At 38.0% G+C, this 21,643-nt stretch overlaps 1 protein-coding gene and 1 pseudogene across 10 annotated transcripts in view; both read left to right on the forward strand.

Annotated features, from left to right (window-relative positions):
• DNAH8 (dynein axonemal heavy chain 8) overlaps positions 1 to 21,643 on the forward strand; it is a 315,482-nt gene that overhangs the window by 12,692 nt on the left and 281,147 nt on the right. For 8 of the 10 annotated variants that reach the window (XR_926078.3, NM_001206927.2, XM_011514319.3 and 5 more), the window contains exons 4-8: positions 1,900 to 1,984; positions 6,472 to 6,623; positions 9,065 to 9,254; positions 9,807 to 9,970; positions 13,709 to 13,885. Coding sequence is in view for 9 of the 10 variants with exons in the window: in NM_001206927.2 (NP_001193856.1) it covers positions 1,900 to 1,984; positions 6,472 to 6,623; positions 9,065 to 9,254; positions 9,807 to 9,970; positions 13,709 to 13,885 (768 nt within the window). In the remaining variant the exon portion in view is untranslated. The remainder of the gene's footprint in view (positions 1 to 1,899; positions 1,985 to 6,471; positions 6,624 to 9,064; positions 9,255 to 9,806; positions 9,971 to 13,708; positions 13,886 to 21,643) is intronic. The other 2 variants (NM_001371.4, XM_011514320.3) reach the window with 2 other exon arrangements.
• Positions 16,084 to 16,384, forward strand: RN7SL465P (RNA, 7SL, cytoplasmic 465, pseudogene; annotated as a pseudogene).

Raw genomic sequence — 21,643 nt, forward strand, 5'->3', positions numbered from 1 at the left:
TTGCCCAGTCTAGAGTGCAGTGGTATGATTACAGCTCACTGCAGCCTCAACCTCCCAGACTCGGGCCATCCTCCGACTTTAGCCTCCCAAGTAGCTGGGACCATTGGCACATACCTCTATGCCCAGCTAATTTTTTTGGTATTTTTATAGAGAGGAGATTTCGCCATGTTTCTCAGGCTGGTCTTGAACTCTTGGGCTCAAGCAGTCTGCCCACCTGGGCCTCTCAAAGTGCTGGGATTACAGAGGTGAGCCACCGAGCCTGGCCTACTTAAAGTCTTTTTACCTTAATTTTCTCTTCTGCAAGAAGGGTATAATAATGCCACTTTACCTAGTTGATACTCAGATTAACTGTTGGTAAAATGTTATGTAATATAAGTGAATTTTTAATGCACAGTCATGATTTTGGCCCATGATCTCACATTTACTTTGCTAGTCTCATGAGTACAATGTATCTAAAATGCAAGGATTCATTGCATTTGATATTTTGATGTCTTTTTATCCTAGTCATGTGCACTGCTTTTGAGAATTTGTATGATTTCAAAGCTAAAGGGTCAGCAAGAAAGTACTGATGGAGCTGTGCAAGAACTATGTGGACAGCTTTTGTCCCTTTTAGGTGGCAATTATGTGAGACCCAAGTATATACGGGAGGTGGAAGAGTAGAGAACAAAGGGCTAGAGTTACGCACATCTTGGTGGCTCTGTTTTATCTCCCAGGGTGGTGGTTCTCAAATGTGGTCCCAGGACCAGTTGCATCAGCATCACCTGGAACTTGATAGGAATGCAAATCATTTTGTGTTTTTAAAAAGCCCTCTATGTGATTCTCTGATGCACACTAACATTTGAGAACACTGTCCTAGGAGGAGTGGCTTTGCTACACTTGGGATACTTCCGCTAGGCAGTCAGTAAATTAAGAGATACTCATGGCCAGGTGTGGTGGCTAATACCTATAATCCCGGCATTTTGGGAGGCCAAGGCAGGAGCATCACTTGAGGTCAGTTCAAGACCAGCCTGGCCAACATGGCGAAACCCCATCTTTACTAAAAATACAAAAATTAGCTGGGCGTGGTGGCAGAAGCCTGTAATCTCAGCTACTCGGGAGACTGATGCCGGAGAATCTCTTGAACCTGGGAGGTAGAGGTTGCAGTGAGCCGAGATCGCGCTACTGCACTCCAGCCTGGGTGACAGAGCGAAACTCCGTCTCAAAACAAACAAACAAACAAACAAACAAACAAACAAACAAACTCTCACTACCCAAGAGAAAGCCTTCTGTATGGGAATAAGTGGGATTAGGTGAATGGGTATATGACTTTGTATTTCCCATAGGATATTTCAGGGCTTTCGTTTATGTTATCTATTTAGTTTTCTATTTACTAAGATATTACACTGACTCCTAAGTAATTGAATAAAAACTTCATGCTCATAAATATGGAAGAATCTCAGTATGATAATGTGTTTTTACTTCAGTTTGGTACAATACAGGTCAAATTACAATAGCTAAAAACATAATTGCTCAAATAATTGGTCAACAACACAGTTAATCAATAGGCAAGTTTTCTGTTCCCCAAGTGAGCTTTTAAGAATAGTTTATCTTAATAATACTTCTTTTTTAAAAATATTTACCTCAAGTTGGACTCACCTATTTAACCCCTATATGATTCTGTGGGGCAGGGTCAGGTAAGTGGCTGCCCAAAACTATATATGTAGGTCATTAATGTAGGTTCAGAAATATAATTCAACCATTACTATATTGCACAGTAATTTTGGAGTTAAATTAGTTTGGGTTCTAATCTTGCCTTTATGTACCTTTGAATAAACTCTTTGAGCTTCATCTTCTTCATCTGCAAAATACTAAGAATTTTTCCTTAGTCGTTTGATTATCATTTTCTCTTTTATTTAACAGCTGGAAGCATTTACTAATTTTTTTGCGAAAGATGGTTGTAAGACACTGAAATTTTTGTACCAAGAAGGAGATGTACCTGGTATTGGTAAGAATTTTCTGAGGGCAGTGTGCCAGTAATTAGTTCATGCACGTTAAAGTGCAGCATATTTTTTCTCTTATACATAGATAATCCTTTATTTATAAAGAAAATGTTACCAGAAGTTTATGTATAAGAAATATAGTGTCTCAAGAACAATACATTCTCAGCCCAAATACATATTTCAGGCCTTGCTATAATGTCTTCAGGAGAAAACATCCTTGTAGAAATCACTGGCCTCTGCTGGGAATACACATTTTCATTAGAATTTAATTGCATTTTCCCCGAAACAGGTGGAGCCATTTTGTCCAGATGATTAGAAGTGGTGGTGAAACCACTCCAGAGCCCTGCAGCTACCCCCTGTGGTCCTATCTCAGCATCTTGTGCCTGCTGCAGCTGTCACTTGGAATAGCTGGTTTTCCCTACTGTGCATATTATGCCTGAACTAATTAACATGCTACCAGCTTGTTAAAACTTTGTTTTAATAACTAGATATGTGGGTTTCCCTTTTGGTCTGAGACTACTCATCATCAGAGTCCTGTGGATTTACCTTCAACACATCCCTCCCGTTGCTTCTTTCTCACTTGGTTCCTCTGCTGCCTTAGGCTAGGCCTTCCCTGGTGTTCCAGATTGAAAACCAGTATCTCTGTAATCAGATTCTCCCTCTGAAATTCGTACTGTGTATTCCTGCCAAGTATATCTTTTATTGTTCTGCTGTTTATTGGATTGGGTCCACATCTCATTTATTCAAGGCCTGCTGTCATCTGGACACGCAGTACTTGTCTAGTCTGATCTCCTACTCTTCCAGATGTGAATTTGCTGCTCCTTTTAAGCCCCTCTTCATTGTTTTCTGCATACTAGAGTTATTTCTTTTCCCTTTCTCTCCTCACCTGGCTTTTTCAGATTGCCTTTCTTCTCTCCACTCAGCATCCCCTACCCGGCTCCTTCAGAACACCTCCAGCAGAGCCCTTCCCAGGGTGTTCCAACCCATAGCCATCACTGTTCTCCAGATCCCTATCTCATTTACAGTATCCATGTAAATATAGTACTTGATTGTGTTCTTCTACCTTCCTCTAATTGTTTAATATATGTCTTGTTTCTTCGATAAAATATGTAAACTCGCAAATAGTGACTAGGTTGGCTTTGTGGATTTTCTGTCTCTCACAGTTCCTATTGTAGGAGGATTATTGTGTGGTCTATATTTTTATAACTTGTTAAAAATTAAAACAATAGCTGAAAATTATAGAAAGATAAAATATCTATAATTAGAAGCAAAATACAGTTCCACTCAGTTGGAGAAAGCACTGTTAACTCCTTAATGAATATTTCTCTATAACTGGTTTATATACATATTTTACAAAAATGGGATCCAATTCTACATATTATTCTATAGTGGCTGTTTAATTTTGATAATATTGTCTTCTTTATGCCAATAAATACATTTATCCAATCAAAATGTTAACATCTGCATTTTATTTCATTAGGCTGATATAACTGTAATTTTCCAAACTGATCTCTCAGTAGAATTTAGGTTGTTTACAACTTTTTGCTCCCTGAAACAATGCCTGAGTGAATATTACTGAATACAAATCTATGTGGATTAGGAATAAATTTTAGGAGAAATTCTCAGAAGGGAAATTGCCAGAGCAAAGGGTACACATATTTTTAATCATTATTTTTGCTACTTACAAAAGTACATTTATCAGTTTGGTAAATATTCATCTACATTTCTTTGTTGTTGCTGTTGTTTTTGTTGAAGCAGAGTCTCACTCTGTCACCCAGGCTGGAGTGCAATGGTGCCATCTTGGCTCACTGCAGCCTCCGCCTCCCGGGTTCAAGTGATTTTCCTGCTTCAGCCTCCTGAGTAGCTGGGATTACAGGTGCACACCACTGCGCCCAGCTAATGTTTTGTATTTTTAGTAGAGACAGGGTTTCACCATGTTGGCCAGGCTGGTCTTGAACTCCTGGCCTCAGGTGATCCACCTGCCTCGGCCTTCCAAAGTGCTGAGATTATAGGTGTGAGCCACCACACCCAGCCTACATTTCTTTCTTATGTGCATGTGTTAACATGTAAATGCTTATTATCAGTTAAAAATGTGGTTATATAATACATTTTATTCTTGACTTGGTGTTTGCATTTGACAGGGTAGCCTAGACATTTTTCTGTGTCATTACGTAAAGATTTACCTCATTCAAAAAATTCGTTATAGTATAACATTCCATTATACAGCTGCATTGTGATTTTTAGAAATCATTCCCTATTGATGGTCACATCTCTCCTCTTCATCAGGAAAACTTAAGCTTGTCTTATGTCTTATCAGACAGAACTGTGTCACATGGCTATCCTGGGGGCCAGGGAGGCTGAGAGAGCAGTTTTCTTTCTAGGGATGAACACAATGGGACAAAGTCAGGTTTTCTTAGCAAAGAAAAAGGGGAGGGTAGTAAATCCCTGTGGAGCCTCTATGAATGGGCATTTGGGCTCTTATATTGCTACGTACCATGTATCAGGGTTCTTTGGCTGCAAGCAACAGAAATAGGTCTGGCTTATATGAGTGGAAAGCAGTGTTTCGGGAGGCGGAAGGTGGATAACAAAATTTAGAACTAGTTGAACAATCAGGTCTCGGGAAGGACAAGAATAGAGCATTTCCACAGATTTCAGGGCAGTTTCTTTAGGATTCATCAGTAGACTTCCATCTCTCAAATCCCTTTTTTTCTTTATGTGTATTCATTCAAGGTTTATATTCTTGTAGAGTCTAATTAGTCTAGTTCTTACATGCCCACCTTTACAGAGCCCTGGCACTCGTATCCTCCAGAATCACAGGGCAGGAGGAATCTCCCAACCCCCGTGAAAAAGAAAGGCTGGGCAGACAAAACATTTCTGTGGCTTTGTGATGTGGATTTTCTATTTCTTTCCTTTTTTATTTTTTTTTGAGATGGGTCTCACTAGGTTGCCCAGGCTGGAGTGCAGTGGCATGATCATGGCTTATTGCACTCTTGATCTCCCAGGCTCAAGTGATTCTCCTGCCTCAACCTCCTGAGTAGTTAGGACTACAGGCACATGCCACCACATCTGGCTAATTTTTAAAAATTATTTTGTATTGACAAGGTCTTACTGTGTTGCCCAGGTTGGTCTCAAACTTCTGGGTTCAAGCAATCCTCCTGCCTTAGCCTCCCAAAGTGCTGGGATTATAGGTGTGAGATGCTGCACCTGGCCAATTTTCTATTTCTTTTATTACATTTTAAATTGGCTATTGCTGCAAATAGAAGGCTGTTGATTTTTGCAAATTAATATTGTGACCAACTATCTAACATAATTCTCATATTTTTAATAGTTTTTCTAATTAAAAAAGATTGATAATTAAATGTTTAATTTTCATGGAAATTAGTTCAAGGAGGGATTTAATAGAAGGTGGATACAATGAGTGTATTTGGTACAGGAACTGGACCTTCTTGGGGGAGTCAGTGAAGGCTTCCTGAGATGGTGGCATTTCAGCTGAGATCTGAAAGATGAGTAGGAATTTGTAGGTAAAAGGTTGGGGATGGGATAGGAGAACAGGTTGTATAAGGCCCTGAGGCCAGGCCAAAAGGAACAGAAGTACAGAGTTCAGGGAAAGGTACCCAGAGGAGGCTGCAATTTAAGATACAATTATTAGCTGGGCACGGTGGCTCACGCCTGTAATCCCAGCACTTTGAGAGGCTGAGCCGGGCAGATCACTTGAGGTCAGGAATTTGAGACTAGCCTGGCCAACATGGTAAAACCCTGTCTCTACTAAAACTACAAGAATTAGCCAGGCATGATGGCGCGTGCTTGTAATCCCAGCTACTTGGGAGGCTGAGGCACGAGAATCGCTTGAACCCGGGAGGTGGAGGTTGCAGTGAACTGAGATTGTGCCACAGCACTGCAGCCTGGGAGACAGAGCTAAAAAAAAAGACTCCATCTAAAAAGAAAAAGAAAAAAAAAAGATGCGATTATTGGCCAGGCATAGTGGCTCCATCTAAAAAAAAAAAAAATGATGCAATTATTGGCCAGGCATGGTGGCTCACACCTGTAATCCCAGCACTTTGGGAGGCTGAGGTGGGCAGATCACCTGAGGTCAGGAGTTTGAGACCAGCCTGGCCAACAGTGAAACCCCGTCTCTAAGAAAAAATAAATACAAAAATTAGCTGGATGTGGTGGCACACGCATGTAGTCCCAGCTACTTGGGAGGCTGAGGCAGGAGAATGGCTTGAAGGGAGGTGGAGGTTGCAGTGAGCTGAGATTGCACTACTGCACTCCAGCCTGGGCAACAGAGCAAGACTCTGTCTCAAAAAAAAAAAAAAAGATGTAATTATTGGCATCTTCTAGTAGACCCCCCCCCAAAAAAATTATTCTATGACCGTATTGAAAACTTCTTACAATAAAGTAAAACAGGAAACAATAGTGTAAGAGCCACAGTAACTTATCTCATTTGATTAGTTGTGTGATTATACGCTAAGTTCTTGACTTTTGTTTTCAGAATGTGGTCGAACTATTGCTGGAGCAACTAAAGGGGCAAAAATGATGAAATTGTATATAGACAATGCAGCCCCGGATAAACTAAAAGGACTGTGCATATTTTTTGTTCGTTGCCGTAATGATGTTGCTATAAATGTTAAAACTATTCAAGAGGTATGTTTAAAAATTTCCCCAAATACATAGTTAAACATTGAATATATTTTTGTAGTCACACTTATGCTTTACTTTGCTTTCCCTTTTTAAATATAGGACTGAATTGAGTTCCAAGAAAATAAATGTATTCATATATTAAAAAAAACTGAGAAATTGACTGTAATAGAGCTTAGTTATATTGATATTTTAGATACTGCTTTCAATTTCATGAAAATTTCATTTCTTGATGGTGTGCAAATAACACATTTAATTTTGTTGATGCAAAGTATTAGTTACTTTATTTAACTTCCTCTTCACTCAATATTTTAACTCTTTTATAGTTTTAAAAGAAGAAGGGAGAGTTGTCCTAGAGCCTGGACATTGCTAAGCTAGTTCTGGGAAGGCAGGATGATGGAATGGGAAAAGCAAGAATTTTAGCCAGAGAGACCGAAATTTGCCTCTTAGCTTCACCACTGACTAATCACTTAAATGTGTCCTCTGGAAAGTTGCTCATCCTTTCTGCGACTTAGATCTCTACGTTCTTAAATTGGGAATAATAATACACACCTGGCAAGATTGTAGTGACACTAAATGATAATATAAATAAATTCTTATTATATTGCCTGACATACAGTAGGCTCTCGACAAATATTAGTTCTCTTTGTTATTCTTAGAGAGTCTTAATACCTTTTACAATGGGAAAGGGAACTGAAGTCTAATCTTGTTCCTTTTCTGTTATGATAAAAGATTGCTTGAAGAGAGCTTGTTTAGCTTGGTTTAAGATTTTAGGTTGGCAGTTATTTTTCCCTGACCCCTTGTAAATATTTCATGGTATTTCTTGTGGATGATGAGAGCACTCCTGTTAGTGTAATTCATAGGTAATCTGTCTTTTTTTCTTTCTGTTTGCTTTTGCTTGTTGTCTTCAAAGTCCTGTAGTTTCACCACAATGCCTCTATGTATGGATGTTTCCTCAATCTGCCTTCCATTTCATTAATTCTTTCTTCAACTTATCCATGATTTCATCCATTCATTTTTATAATTTAGCTTTTGTTTTAGTTCAGTTATGTGTGCATATAAAGAGAGAAAAAGTCCTTTTATGAAATAGTATAAGTCTTTCATAACCGAAAAACTGACTTCTATGCTATTCTCCAGAAGCAACTATTAAACCCTTTTAATGGATTCTTTTATTTACCTGTATATCTCTAAATAATATGCTCAGACTGCTCCTTTTGTCAGTTTAGACATTATCTGTGGCCAGTCGCAGTGGCTTACCCTGTACTCCCGGCACTTTGGGAAGCAGAGGCAGGCAGATCGCCTGAGCTCAGGAGTTCGAGACCACCCTGGGCAACAGAGTGAAACCCTGTCTCTACTAAAATACAAAAAATCAGCTGGGTGTGGTTGTGCACTCCTGGGGTCCCAGCTACTTGGGAGGCTGAGAGAAGAGAATTGCTTGAGTCCCCAAGGCAGAGGTTGCAGTGAGCTGAGATCACGCCACTGCACTTCAGCTTGGGCTACAGAGTGAGAGAAAAAAAAAAAGACATTTTCTGTGGACTTTTCTCTCTGGAAGGTGATAATTTCGCTCTTTTTCTGCCTTCTGACCCTTGTTTCTCCATCCCTCTATTCTTCCAACGTAGTTATATTCTAGTTAACTTAGCTAAATATTTGTTTACATCATTAGAACTAAGTAAATGTAATCACAGATGAGCCATGTGGTGTAACAGTGGTTCTTAAAGTCAAACCTATTTTCATCAGAATACTAAGATGCTAGTTGCCCTTTTCACCAATGTTGACATTTGACTGATGGCGCAGAAGCAATGGTGGGAAAAACTACTGATACCTTAACACGAATCAAGACGACACCAAACTGTATGAGTAGTAATTTTATACTTCATTGCCACACACTCACAGTTAAAAAACCAGAAATCATTTTTTTTTGTGACCCTAGACAAGTTTTTTAATCTTAATTTTCTGGCTTGGGATTTCTAAGTCACTTAAGATGTATCAATTGAAAGGTCACGCATGGGTGGTGGGCTTTTGATTTCTGGGCTTTTGGTTTCTTACGGCTGGTAATTTATTCCACCAAACTTCTAGGCAAGGGCTTTTCACCAGAAAAAAAAAAAATCATGGACAGGGCAACTTTCAACGGAGGATTTTCTTTACGCAGGTTTGGTTCCACGTCCCTCACCTTGAATAGGCTCCAGGCTATTGTTCCTTTCCTATGCAGAAATTAAAGCATCAAATGAAACATCACTTTGATGAGCAAATATGGGAATAATTAAATTGGGGGCAGAATATAAGTTTGTTGACTTTAGAACTCTAAGGTTCATAACCACTTAAGATTCCCTAATAGTTTATAAAATGTATTAGTTGTCTATGTTTATTGCAATATAAAACAGGTTATGATTTTTCAGTTCTTTAGTGGGATTAGCATGTAAAATAACATTTAAACTCCACCCTTTCAGGAAGCGCTCTTTACTGTTCTGGATGCGTCGAAAGGACTCTTAAATGGAATTAGGGATATGTTGGCAAATATATTTCTACCAGCTGTTCTTGCAACAAACAACTGGGGTGCTTTAAACCAGTCCAAGCAGGGAGAATCTGAAAAACATATTTTCACTGAAACCATCAACAGATATCTTTCATTTTTAGATGGTAAGTATAAAATTTAATGTTTAGCAAATTGCAAAAAAGAAGCAAATTAACTAAGATATTTCATAAACAGAGAAAAAGTTTCTATCTTAAAAGATGTTAATCCAAGTAATTATGAGACTTAGAGGCAAGAAATGAAATCATTAGAACTCATTTTTGAGGATCTTTGGTGGAGTAAGATATATTTTCTTTTTAATTTTACGTTATAGCAGGAGGAATCTCTTTCTATAATATTAATGAAAATTTTCACCATATTAAAATATATACTTTATTATGAACTCTTAAAAATCTATACTTTTATTTTTTCATATTGTTAAAATGTACAATTTTATCAGTAAATTATGAAGTCATAATCTAATGATTAATTAGAATTATATTTCTGTAAAGTATTAGATCTTTAACATTTCAGTAATTAGAGCTTAAAAGTACACATTGACTTTTAACACATTGACATTAAATACTTCTTACTATTAAATATTATTTAATATTTTTATTAATATATTTAAAATATTTAATATATAAATTAGTATTAAATGTCTTTTTTTTCCTTTTTAGGTGCTAGAATAAGTATTGAGGGAACAGTGAAGTTAAAGACAATAGACAATGTTAATTTTTCCAAACTGCACACCTTTGAAGAAGTAACTGCTGCAGCCAGCAACTCAGAAACTGTTCATCAGCTGGAGGAAGTGCTGATGGTATGGTACAAACAGATCGAACAGGTGAATTGACTCAAACAATTGCATCTGGACTAGTAGTTTTCATGTGCATCCTAGCCATTGTATTTTGTCTCTAACAGCAAAGGGAAGAGGTGTCTCCTTTGACTTTCTTCCAGAATCTAGTTTGAAACTCAGCCAATTTTTGGGTCTAGAGCAAAATCATTCTTCTTTGTGGACCATTTGAAATCAATTTTAAGATATTTCTCACTTCAAGGAAGAAACCATAACAATATGGGTTGAGAATGAAAGAATGAAGAATCAGGAATAGCCAACATTTATCCCCAATAATGTTTAAATTGTTGATACTCTCCATAAAAGAGAGAGGGAGAGGACACAGTGAAGAGCCAGAGTGCTAGACACTAAATAAGTACCTCTTGTTCGATCAGTGGAGTTGTCTGTGCTGTCAAAGAAGTTCAGACTAGGCTGTTTCACATCAGCATCACAGTGGCAAGCCTGCAGCTCTATGGTCAAATTTTTTCTGGCAGTAAGGAAAGTAGTGATAGGAATACAACATATGTCAAAATTATGAGAGGCTCCAACTTACACTATAAACACTGTGAAAGAAAATCGGATATTACATAATTGCCCTAAACAGAAAGAGGATTCTAGGAACCGCCCCCCAGATCTCTAGTTCATCAGCACAGGACAGCAGAACTAAACAAGAAAATCTTCAGTTATGTGAGGATCAAGGGGAAAAAATCTTGACCAGGCAGGAGGTACAGAAAAGCGTTTCCAGTTTTACCTTTCTAGAACTATGTTAGGAGGAGGGCTGTGCAGTTAGAGTGGCAAAAATTGGAGGACTCCCCTAGGGTCTAGAGTGCTGGCCACAGCATTTGCTTCCAGGTGTCACTAGATTATTGAAATGGGTAATTGCCCACTGGATAACTCTTGCAGCCACCGTGCCCAGCCAAGACTTCCTATTTTTTTTTGAAAAATCTTTGGTTACACTTGGAATTGTCAGATTTTTAATTGTTGCCAATATGTTGAGTGTGAAATGATATCTTGGTTTACTTGGTATTACCCTAAATACTATTGAGGTTGAGCATATTTAATGGCTATTTTGGTTTCCTCTGTGTAGAATTGCTTGTTTATATCATTTACCTGTATCATTTACCCATATCATTGCCTGTTCATATCATTTGCCTATATCATCCCTTTATTTTTTTGGATGGCTTGATGTTATCATACTACATTTTTGGAGGTTAAATAATATTTTCCTGATATTAATCCTATGTTGGTCCCCATTGTGTCATGTTTCATTTGGTATAGTGCCTTTAGTCATGTGGAAATTTAAGTTTTTAATGTAGATAAATATATTAATTACAAATGTTAATCCAGCCTCAACCTAGCTATCCCCAGTGACTATAAATATAAACTCTGTGCTTTTTGTATTTTACTTATTAAATGCTTTCCTACTCCAGTGTTACAAAGGCATTCTCTTAAATTCTTTATTTATTTTAAATAGTGAATATAACACAAAAATGAATATGATGAAAGGAACAAACTGTAAAATGAACACCTGTGTAACCTTTGCACAAGTTAAGAAATAGAACATGGCTAGGCATGGTGGCTCATGCTTGTAATCCCAGCACTTTGGGAGCCCAAGGCAAGAGGATCGCTTGAGCCCAGGAGTTCAGGACCAGCCTGGGGAACGCAGTGAGACCCAGCCTCAAAATAAATAAATAAAGAAAAGAAAAAACATAGACCATTACCAGCGCCTTAAAATGTCCTTGCGTTTCTCTTCCCAGTTTTAAACAGCTTTTCTTCCCCCTAGTGGTAACTATTATCTTGATAATTATGCTTTTCAATTCCATGTTTTTCTTTCTAGTTTTACCCTGTCTCCTACATTTTCTTTTAGAAATGTTACCATTTTATTTTTAACATTTAGGTGTTTAATCCATCTGGAATTGTGCGTGTGTGTATGATGGGAGGCAGAAATCTAATTTTGTGTTTTTCATGTACCTGTAGTTAGCCAATTGTCTCGATTTAAGATTCTCTGTTAAATTGTTTAATAGTCCATTTTTTTCTAACATATTTGTAATATAACCTCTGTCATATATAAAGTTGTTAGACCCTTTTGTTTGTCTCACTGGTGTATTTATTTATTTTTTATACTATGCTGTACTGCTTTAATTCTGTAGCGTTTTACTAAACCAACATTTGGCATGCCAAGTCTTTTCTCTGTTTTTCCTCAAAATTACATTGACTGTTGCAGGCTAATTGTTTTTCAAAATTAATTTTAAGACTAATTTTTAAAGTATCATGAAAAACCCTATTGAGATTTTGATTAGAATTTCATTGAATGTGTACATGAATTTAGAGAAAACTGCCATCTTTGTATAATTGAATTTTCCATCCATGAACATGATATACCTCCCCATTTAGGTAGGTCTTCTGTGTGTGTAAAATAAGTTTTAAAATTCTCTCCAAAAAGGTTTTGCATATCTTTCATTAGATTAATTTCTAGTTATCTTATCACTGTTTTTCTTTGCTGTTGTAAATTGTATCTTTTTGGAAATTAAATTTTCAGATTGCAAGATAGCTTGTAAAGAAGTGATACTAATTTTTATGTATAGATCTAGCAACTTTACTGAATTGCTCACGTTTATTAATTGTAAAAAGTTTGTCTTTAGTCTTTTTGTTTTTTTTTCTTTTCTTTTTTTGAGACAGGGTCTCATTCTGTCACCCAAGCTGGAGTGCAGTGGCATGATCATAGCTCACTGCAGCCTCCAGCTTCTGGGCTTAAGTGATCCTCCCCGCTCAGCCTCCTGAGTAGCTGGGACTACAGGCATGCACCACCACATCCGACTAATTTAAAAAATTTCTGTGGAGAAGGGGTCTTGCCTTGTTGCCCAGGCTGATCTTGAACTCCTGGGCTCAAGCAGTCCTCCACTTCAGCCTTCCAAAGTGCTGAAATTACAGGTGGGATCCACTGCTCCCAACCTTAGATATGCTAGTTTAAAAATGTAGCAAACTATATCATCTGTGATTATGCCATTTTTGGTTTTTTATTTCCAATTCTTAATGCCTTCTGTTTCTTTAGTTACCTTGTTCTGGGATATCTATTACCAGGTGGAATAGAAGTGGGTGGTGATTGTGGCAAACTTATCATGTCCTTGGTTTTAAAGTGATATTTTCTAAAATGTCACCTTTGGCCAGGTATGGTTACTCATGCCTGTAATCCCAACACTTTGGGAAACTGAGGCAGGAGGATCGCTTCAGCCCAGGAGTTTGAGACCAGCTGGGCAACATAGTGACATGCTATCTCTACAAAAAATTAAGAATTAGCTGTCTGTGGTAGCACTTGCCCGTAGTCCTAGCTACTCAGTAGGATGAGGCGGGAGGATTGCTTCAGCCCAGGAGGTTAAGGCTGCAGTGCACTGTGATTGTGCCACTGCACTCTAGCGTAGGCAGCAGAGCGAGACCCTGCCTCAAAACAACAAACATACAAACAAAAAAACCCCAAAACCAAAAAACTACCTCCCCCCCGACCAAAAAAAAAAACCCAAAATAAATAAGAGAAACTGTCACCTTTAAATATTATGTTTGCTGGAGAATTTTAGTAGATAGTATCTATCATATTGAAGACATTCTCCTCTAGTCTTCATTTACTGAGAGTTTTTAAACATTATTTGGTATTGAACATTATTTATACTTTCAGCTGCCTTCAAAAAGATGCAATCAGATTTTAACAAAGAAGAATGTAACATTTCTATATTTTATAAATTTTTTTGACTGCAGGTACTTATTGAGAGTGAGCAGATGAGAAAAGAAGCTGGTGATTCAGGTCCACTCACTGAATTGGAACACTGGAAACGCATGTCAGCCAAGTTCAACTATATCATTGAGCAGATTAAAGGGCCAAGTTGTAAGGCTGTCATAAATGTGCTAAATGTTGCACACTCCAAACTGCTAAAGGTAAAAGGCTTTTTATTTAAAGTTTGGTATACTTCAGAACAAGCAACTAGAAAATTATCCTATTGAACTACTTCTTAGTATAATATACTGGAATCGTGTTTAGAAGTGTTAGCCTTTGAGTAAGGCTTTTACATATATCACAGTTATTTCCAGAAGAGGAAATGAAGATTTATTTCTCAGGATTTCGCAGACCAATTTTGACCATACTACTATGGGGTGATTTTTAGGAAAGTGATCATCTTTTATTTTTAAATTGTTTTTGAAATTGTAAATCAATGAAGAAATCAATATAGGCTCACTGAGGTAAACAACTGCATATAGAGTCAAAAGTAAAGTACATCTCATCCCCATGATTCTACCTCCTTTCCTAGAGGTCATCTTTATTTACAGTTTGGCTTGATTCTAGATTCTTTTCTTTTCTTTCTTTTTGAAACAGGGTCTCGTTCTGTCACTCGGGTGGGGTGCAATGGTGTGTTCACAGCTCACTGCAGCCTCCACCTCCCAGGCTCAAGCGATTATCTTGCCTCAGCCTCCTGAGTAGCTGGGACTAACAGGCATGCCCCACCACCACGCCCGGCTAATTTTTGTATTTGTTGTAGAGATGGGGTTTCACCAAGTTGCTCTGGGTGGTCTCAAACTCCTGAGCTCAAGTGATCCGCCCACCTCAGCCTCCCAAAGTGCTGGGATTACAGGCGTGAGCAACCGCACCTGGCTTCTTTTTCTTTCTTTCTTTAAATGTATTTCTTTCTTTGCACAGAAAAATAAACTAATACTTTTTTGGTAATAGATTTAAGCAGTACGAATAAAACAAGTCTCTCTTAATCACATACCCTTAGCCCCACCACCCACAACTCTGTGTCCTGAATAGTAAGCACAGAAAGACAACTGCACTTTTCTATTTTATTTTTTCCTCAACATCTTCTGTGGTATGTATGTGTGAGTTTACTATGCACAAATGACATAGTTTAGTTTTGTGTTTCTAACTTTTAAATTAAATAAATGTCATAGCATAATATTTTTCAACTTCCCTTCCCCACCCCTGATAGTATATCTTGGAGAGTTATGCCTGTTAGATCGAGCTTGAGCGGTATGGTTTTCCAAAAAAATGTTGTTGTTGTGCTTTTTTTTTTTTTTTTTTTTTTTTTTTAAAGACAGAATCTTACTCTGTCACCCAGGCTGGAGTGCAAAGGCATGATCACGGCTCACTGCAGCCTCAACCTTCCAGGCTTAAGCCATCCTCCCACCTCAGCCTCCTGAGTAGCTGGGACTACTGTCATATGCCACCATGCCCGACTAATTAAATAATTTTTTAAAAATGTTGTCCAGGCTAGTCTTAAACTCCTGGGCTCAAGCGATTCTTCCACCTCAGCCTCCCAAAGTGCTGGGATTACAGGTGTAAGTCACTGTGCCTTGCCCAAAATGTTAATGTAGCATATTAGGTTTTATCTGATCATTTCCCTGTTTGTGGACCAATTTTCCCCTTTCTTTTTTTGCAAGTCTGAGTTATAATTCACATACTATTTATTTTATCCATTTAAAGTGAACAATTCAGATATTTTTAGTGTATTCATAGTTGCACAAATATCACCACGATCCAATTTTGGAACATTTTCATCACCTCAAAGAGAAACTCTATATCCTTCAGCTCTCACCTTCCCATTTCCAACATTCCCCCTTCCCCCCAGCCCTCTGTCTAGATTTGCCTATTCTGGACATTTTATATAAATGGAATCATAGATTCTTTGCCTTTCGTTACTGGTTTCTTTCACTTAGCATAATGTTTTCAAGTTTCGTCCATGTTGTAGCCTGTATCAGTATGTCATTCCTTTTTATGGCTGAATCATATTCTGTTGTATGAATATACCACATTTTGTTGATCAGTTTATGGACATTTGGGTTGTCCCTGTTTTTTTGGCAATTATGCATAACGCTGCTATGAACATTCATGTACTGTACAACTTTTTGTGTTGATATATATTGTCATTTGTCTTGGTTATTATACCTGGGGTGGAATTTCTGGGTCACATGTTAACTCTATGCTTAACTTTTTAAGGAAAATGGTTCCTTTTCTATGTGTTTATAAATATTGCTGCAGTTGAAGCTTTTATATGTCCATATGCAAATATTTCCTTAGGTTGGACACTCCACAACTTTTCAGTACTAATTATCAGTTAAGTTATTATTATTATTATTTTTTTGCCAGGCATGGTGGCCTACATCTGTAGTGTGAGCTACTTGGGAGGCTGAGGCAAGAGGATTGCTTGAACTCAAGAATTTTGAGCTGTAGTGCACTATGTTGATTGGCTGTCCACATTATGTTTGGCATCAATATAGTAGTGATGTCCCAGGAGTGGGGTGATGAGGGTGCCTAAGGAGAGGTGAACTGATCAGGGTCAGAAACAGAGCAGATCAAAACTCTTGTGCTGATCAATAGTGGGATCATGCCTATGCATAGCCACTGCACTCCAGGCTGGGCAATGTAGCGAGACCCTATCTCATTAAAAAAACTAAAAAAAAATTTTTGGGGGGCCAACCTGACATATGGAGAATGGCTTGTTTTATTTTGTTCTTTCCTTGTTAGTAGTGAAGTTGTTCAGTTTTTGCTGCTTACTGGCTATTCATATTTCTTTTGTGAATTTTCTTTTTGTATCTTTCCCTTATTTAGAAAAATTCAGACATTGTTTTGTACTGATTTATAGGAGTTCTTTATTTTTTATTTTTTTTGAGACAGGCTTCTCTTCGTCACTTAGGCTGGAGTGCAGTGGCACTATCATGATTCACTGCACGCTCGACCTCCCGGGCTCAAGTGATCCTCCTGCCTCAGCCTCCTGAGTAGCTGAGACTACAGGCATGTGCCAATGTGCCTAACTAATTTTTAAACAATTTTTTTTATAGAGATAGGATCTTACTGTGTTGCCCAGGCTGGTCTCAAACTCCTGGGCTCAAGGAATCCTCCTGCCTCACACTCCCAAAGTGTTGGGATTACAGACGTGAGCCACTGTGCCTGGCCACTTGGAGTCCTTTATATAATATGGATATTAATCACTCGTTATATTTGTTGGATGAAGTAATTCACTATGACTCCTGGGCATCTCTGCACATTTTCACTATATATGAAAAGAATGCAAGGCCCATACTGCTCTTTATCTGAACATCTCTCAGAGTTGTGTTTGCAGTGAGCAACCTTGAGGGGTCAGTTCACGTGTCCCCCAGACAAAGAGCAGAATTACTTACCGCTTACTGTAAAAAGGATAAATTCCCCTAAACTCAGTATTCCTCACCTGTAACACAACCTACTGCAGGTGCAAGCATCAGTGTGTGGATATTTAGGGTCATGGGGGAACAAATGCAACTTAATGCTCATGCCATTTGCTGTGATGTAATAAAATCCTTGTCTCTGAACCCAAATCTCATGTTTTCTCCCTTCATCCATAAAACAATAAAAGGCTAATGCATTAACTTCTAAGCAGGGTAAAATCCCAGACCCCCATATGCACTTTGACAATTACAATGCAAACTTTTTCCTAGTCTGTGGCTTGTATTTTTTAAAACTTCAACACTTGAAATCATTTTAGACTTATGGAAGAGTCAACCAGGATAGTACAGAGAGTTCCTGCCTGCTCTTCATCTAGCTTCCCCTAATGTTAACATCTTAAAACTATTGTACAATGATCAAAATGAAGGGGTAACATTAGTACGATACTATTAATGATGCTACACACAATTTATACTTCTCCAGGTTTTCCACTTATGTATTTTTATCTGTTCTGGGATCCAATCCAGGATCCTATTTACATTTGACTGTCATGTCTCTTTAGCCTCCTCCAATGGAACAGTTCCTTAGTCTGTAGTTATACTTCATGAGCTTGATACTTTTGAATAGTAATGGTCAGTTATTTAGGAGAATGTCTCTCAATTTGGGTTTGTCTGATGGTTTCTCGTGAATACATTGAGGTTATGCATCTTTGGTAAGAATGCCAGAGTTGATGTGCTCTTCCCAGTACGACTTACCAGGCGGTCCATTATATTGATGTGCCTTATTACTGTTTTAAAATTGATCATTTAGTTAGGGTGGAATTTGCCAGGTCTCTGTACTGTACACGTATCGTATTTTGTGGAAAATAACCTTAAACTACATGAATAGCTTTCATAGGTGGGTCTTGACTGCGGCCGTCATTACTGTGTTATGCCAATGGTGGTTTTCTAGTTCCCTCATTCCTTCCACGTTTATTAATCAGAATTCTTATGTAAGAAAATGTTGTCTCTTCTCTCACTGTAGTTATGTATTTGATCGTTTATTTTCATTAATATAGCCTCATGGGTATTTATTTCATGCTTTTGGTTATAATCGAATACTATCATTATTTAGTTTGTTGCTCAAATTGTTTCCTCTTTGGCCATCGGGAAATCTTTCAGGTTGGCTTGTGTGTTTCCTTCTGATTCCCTTACTCTGTTTGGACCACTTCTTTACTCTCTAACACTAGATAAATGCTTAAGGCTCATTTTGTATTTGTTCTGCCCTAGTCCTGGGATCAGCACTTCTCCAAGGATCCTGGGTTTATTTTATTGGAGAGTAGTATTTAGGAACCAAAATCTGGTTGCCAGATGTGCTTATTTGTTGCTTGTATTTTAATTTTTTTTTAAAATGGAATCATTTATAATGAATTTTTTTATATTTAGATGAATTAATTTTTTCAGCCTTTTATTGCTTTTGTCTTTCATGTATTGTTTAAAAATACCTTCTTAAGAAGAATAAATTGGTTGGGCGTGGTGGCTCACGCCTGTAATCCCAGCACTTTGGGAGGCCGAGGTGGGTGGATCACCTGAGGTCAGGAGTTCGAGACCAGCCTGGCCGGTATGGCAAAATCCCGTCTCTACTAAAAATACAAAAATTAGCCAGGAGTGGTGGTGCATGCCTGTAATCCCAGCTATTCGGGAGGCTGAGGAAGGAGAATCACTTGAACCCGGGAGGTAGAGGTTGCAGTGAGCTGAGATTGTGCCACTGCACTCCAGCCTGTGTGTTGGGAGTGAGACTCCATCTCAAAAAAGAAAAAAAAAGAAGAATAAATTAAGGTTAACCTAAATTTAAAATAGAATTGCCCTTTTCTTCTATTTCTAGGGTTTTATTTCTTTATACTTTATTCTTCAGTTAACTTGGAATTTATTTGTGTGAATCATGTAAGATTTAATAATAATGATAATAATAGCAGCTAACATTTATTGTGTGCTTACTATGTGCCAAGCGTTGTGTTCAGTATCTTACCTATAACATTTCATTTAATCCTCACATCAGCTGGATCAGGTGGATCTTATTATTATCTTCCCCATTTTGTATATAGAACAGTGAGAGATTAAGTTTCTTGTTCAAGGTCACAGAGTTAGTTGGAGGGGAAGCAGGATATAAGGTCATGCACTTACCTCTTGAGCTAGCATTCTTTTTCCCAAATGGCTGGCTAATTTTCTGGGCACTGTTTGTCATTTTCTTTTTTTCTTTTTCTTTTTTTTTTTTTTTTTTTTGAGGCAAAATCTCACTCTGTTGCTCAAGCTGGAGTGCAGAGGTGCGATCTTGGCTCACTGCAACCTCCACCTCCCAGGTTCAAGCAATTCTCCTGCCTCAGCCTCCTGAGTAGCTGGGACTACAGGCACATGCCACCATACCCAGCTAATTTTTGTATGTTTAGTAGAGACAAGGTTTCACTATGTTGGCCAAGCTGGTCTTGAACTCCTGACCTCGTGATCTGCCCGCCTTGGCTGCCCAAAGTGCTGGGATTACTGGCGTGAGCCACCGCGCTCAGCCACTGTTTGTCATTTTCTTGTAATCATCATAACTTTTGTACATCTACTCTTTGTTCTTCTTTTCCAGATTTGTCTTAACAATTCCTATGTTTTCATCCTTTGGTACACATTTTGAAATAAGTTTATACAGTTTTTTTCTCCAAAATACCAAATTTTGAGACTTAGTTTTATATATTTTTGAAATGTATGTAAATGGAGTCATATCATATATTCTGCAATCAACTTTTACTCAACATTATTTGTGAGAATTCATCATGTTAATGTGTGCATTATTATTCATTTGCTACCTTTGTTTTTATTGCTGTATCATATTCTGTTGCATGAATGCACCACAATTTATTTATCTATTATCCCAGAATCGACATTTGGATTGTTTCTAGTTTGGGGTTATTGCAAGCAATGATTCAAAGGACATTCTTATTCATGTCTCCTGGTGCACATGTGTGAGAATTTCTCTAAGGCATATTCCTAGGAGAAAATTTATGAATTTGTGGATCAAAGGCATATACAATTTAAGCTCTTGGAGAGAGGTCTCTAATGATCTGCCATAGTGACCTTCAGACATTTTGTATTAAAAATATTAATCTCTAGTCTTTAGAAAGGATACAAAGCAAATGTGGTAGCAAATCTATGAATGACATTGAGGAGGGAGGGAAAGAAATATATTGGATGACAATGTAAAGATCCAAGAAGGTCTTCAGTGGTAAGAGTGGGGGTGCCATACTGATATCCCAACCTCTTTGTTGGATGGGTTTGTTGACAAACTGTTTGGCTCCCATTGTTTTTCAAAATGGTTTTGTTCAGAGCATATTATTTCTGTTTTTGCTGAGTAGACCTCTCCATTTCATGCTCTCTTCATCTCTGACCAATTCTCAAGCAGGCACTTGATTTTATCATCCCTAGTATGTAAGAGTGGTCAGTTAATAATAAGATAACAGCTCACGCCTGTAATCCCAGCACTTTGCGAGGCTGAGGCAGGAGAATGGCGTGAACCCAGGAGGTGGAGCTTGCAGTGAGCTGAGATCGTGCCACTGCACTCCAGCCTGGGTGACAGAGCAAGACTCCGTCTCAAAATAATAATAATAATAATAATAATAATAATAATAATATAACATTTATTGAGAATAGGTTAAAAATCCTGAAAGAATTTGAAGGAGAGAAATTGATCAACTTTGGATAAAGACTTAACAGTTTTAGTTGAATCCATTGATAGAATGATATTACTGATGCAAGTCAACTTGATCCTAGGCTGCTTTATGAGAGGTATAGTTTCCAGGAAAAAGGAAGGTGATGTTTTGGCTTTTCTCAGCATTGACCAGATCACACTGAAGGCTTCCTTTCATTCCTGAGGCATATGTATTTAGAGTGATGTTGTGTGTGTCCCAAGTAGAAAGGCCAAGAGGTTGAAGCTATTAAGACCATGTCCTTGGAACCAACCCAAAAGCTCATCAATGATAGACTGGATAAAGAAAATGTGGCACATATACACCATGGAGTACTATATGGCTATAAAAGGGAGTGAGATCATGTCCTTTACAGGGACACGGATGAAGCTGGAAGCCATCATCCTCAGCAAACTAACATAGGAACAGAAAACCGAACACCACATGTACTCACTCATAAGTGGGAGTTGAACAATGAGAACACATGGACACAGGGAGGGGAACATCACACACTGGAGCCTGTCAGGGGGTCAGCGGGGAAAGGGGAGGGAGAGCATCAGGACAAATAGCTAATGCATGCAGGGCTTAAAACCTAGATGAGGGGTTGATAGGGGCAGCAAACCACCATGGCACATATATACTATGTAACAAACCTACGCATTCTTCACTTATATCCTGGAACTTAAAGTAAAAAAAAAAAAAAAAAGACAATGTCTAATTAAATGACTAAAGGCACACAGATTGCTCATCTTTGAATAAAAGACTTAGTGATGATATGGTAAATGTCTTCAAACATTTG

The sequence above is a fragment of the Homo sapiens genome, chromosome 6, assembly GCF_000001405.40.
Source record: "Homo sapiens chromosome 6, GRCh38.p14 Primary Assembly".
Lineage (NCBI taxonomy): Eukaryota > Metazoa > Chordata > Mammalia > Primates > Hominidae > Homo > Homo sapiens.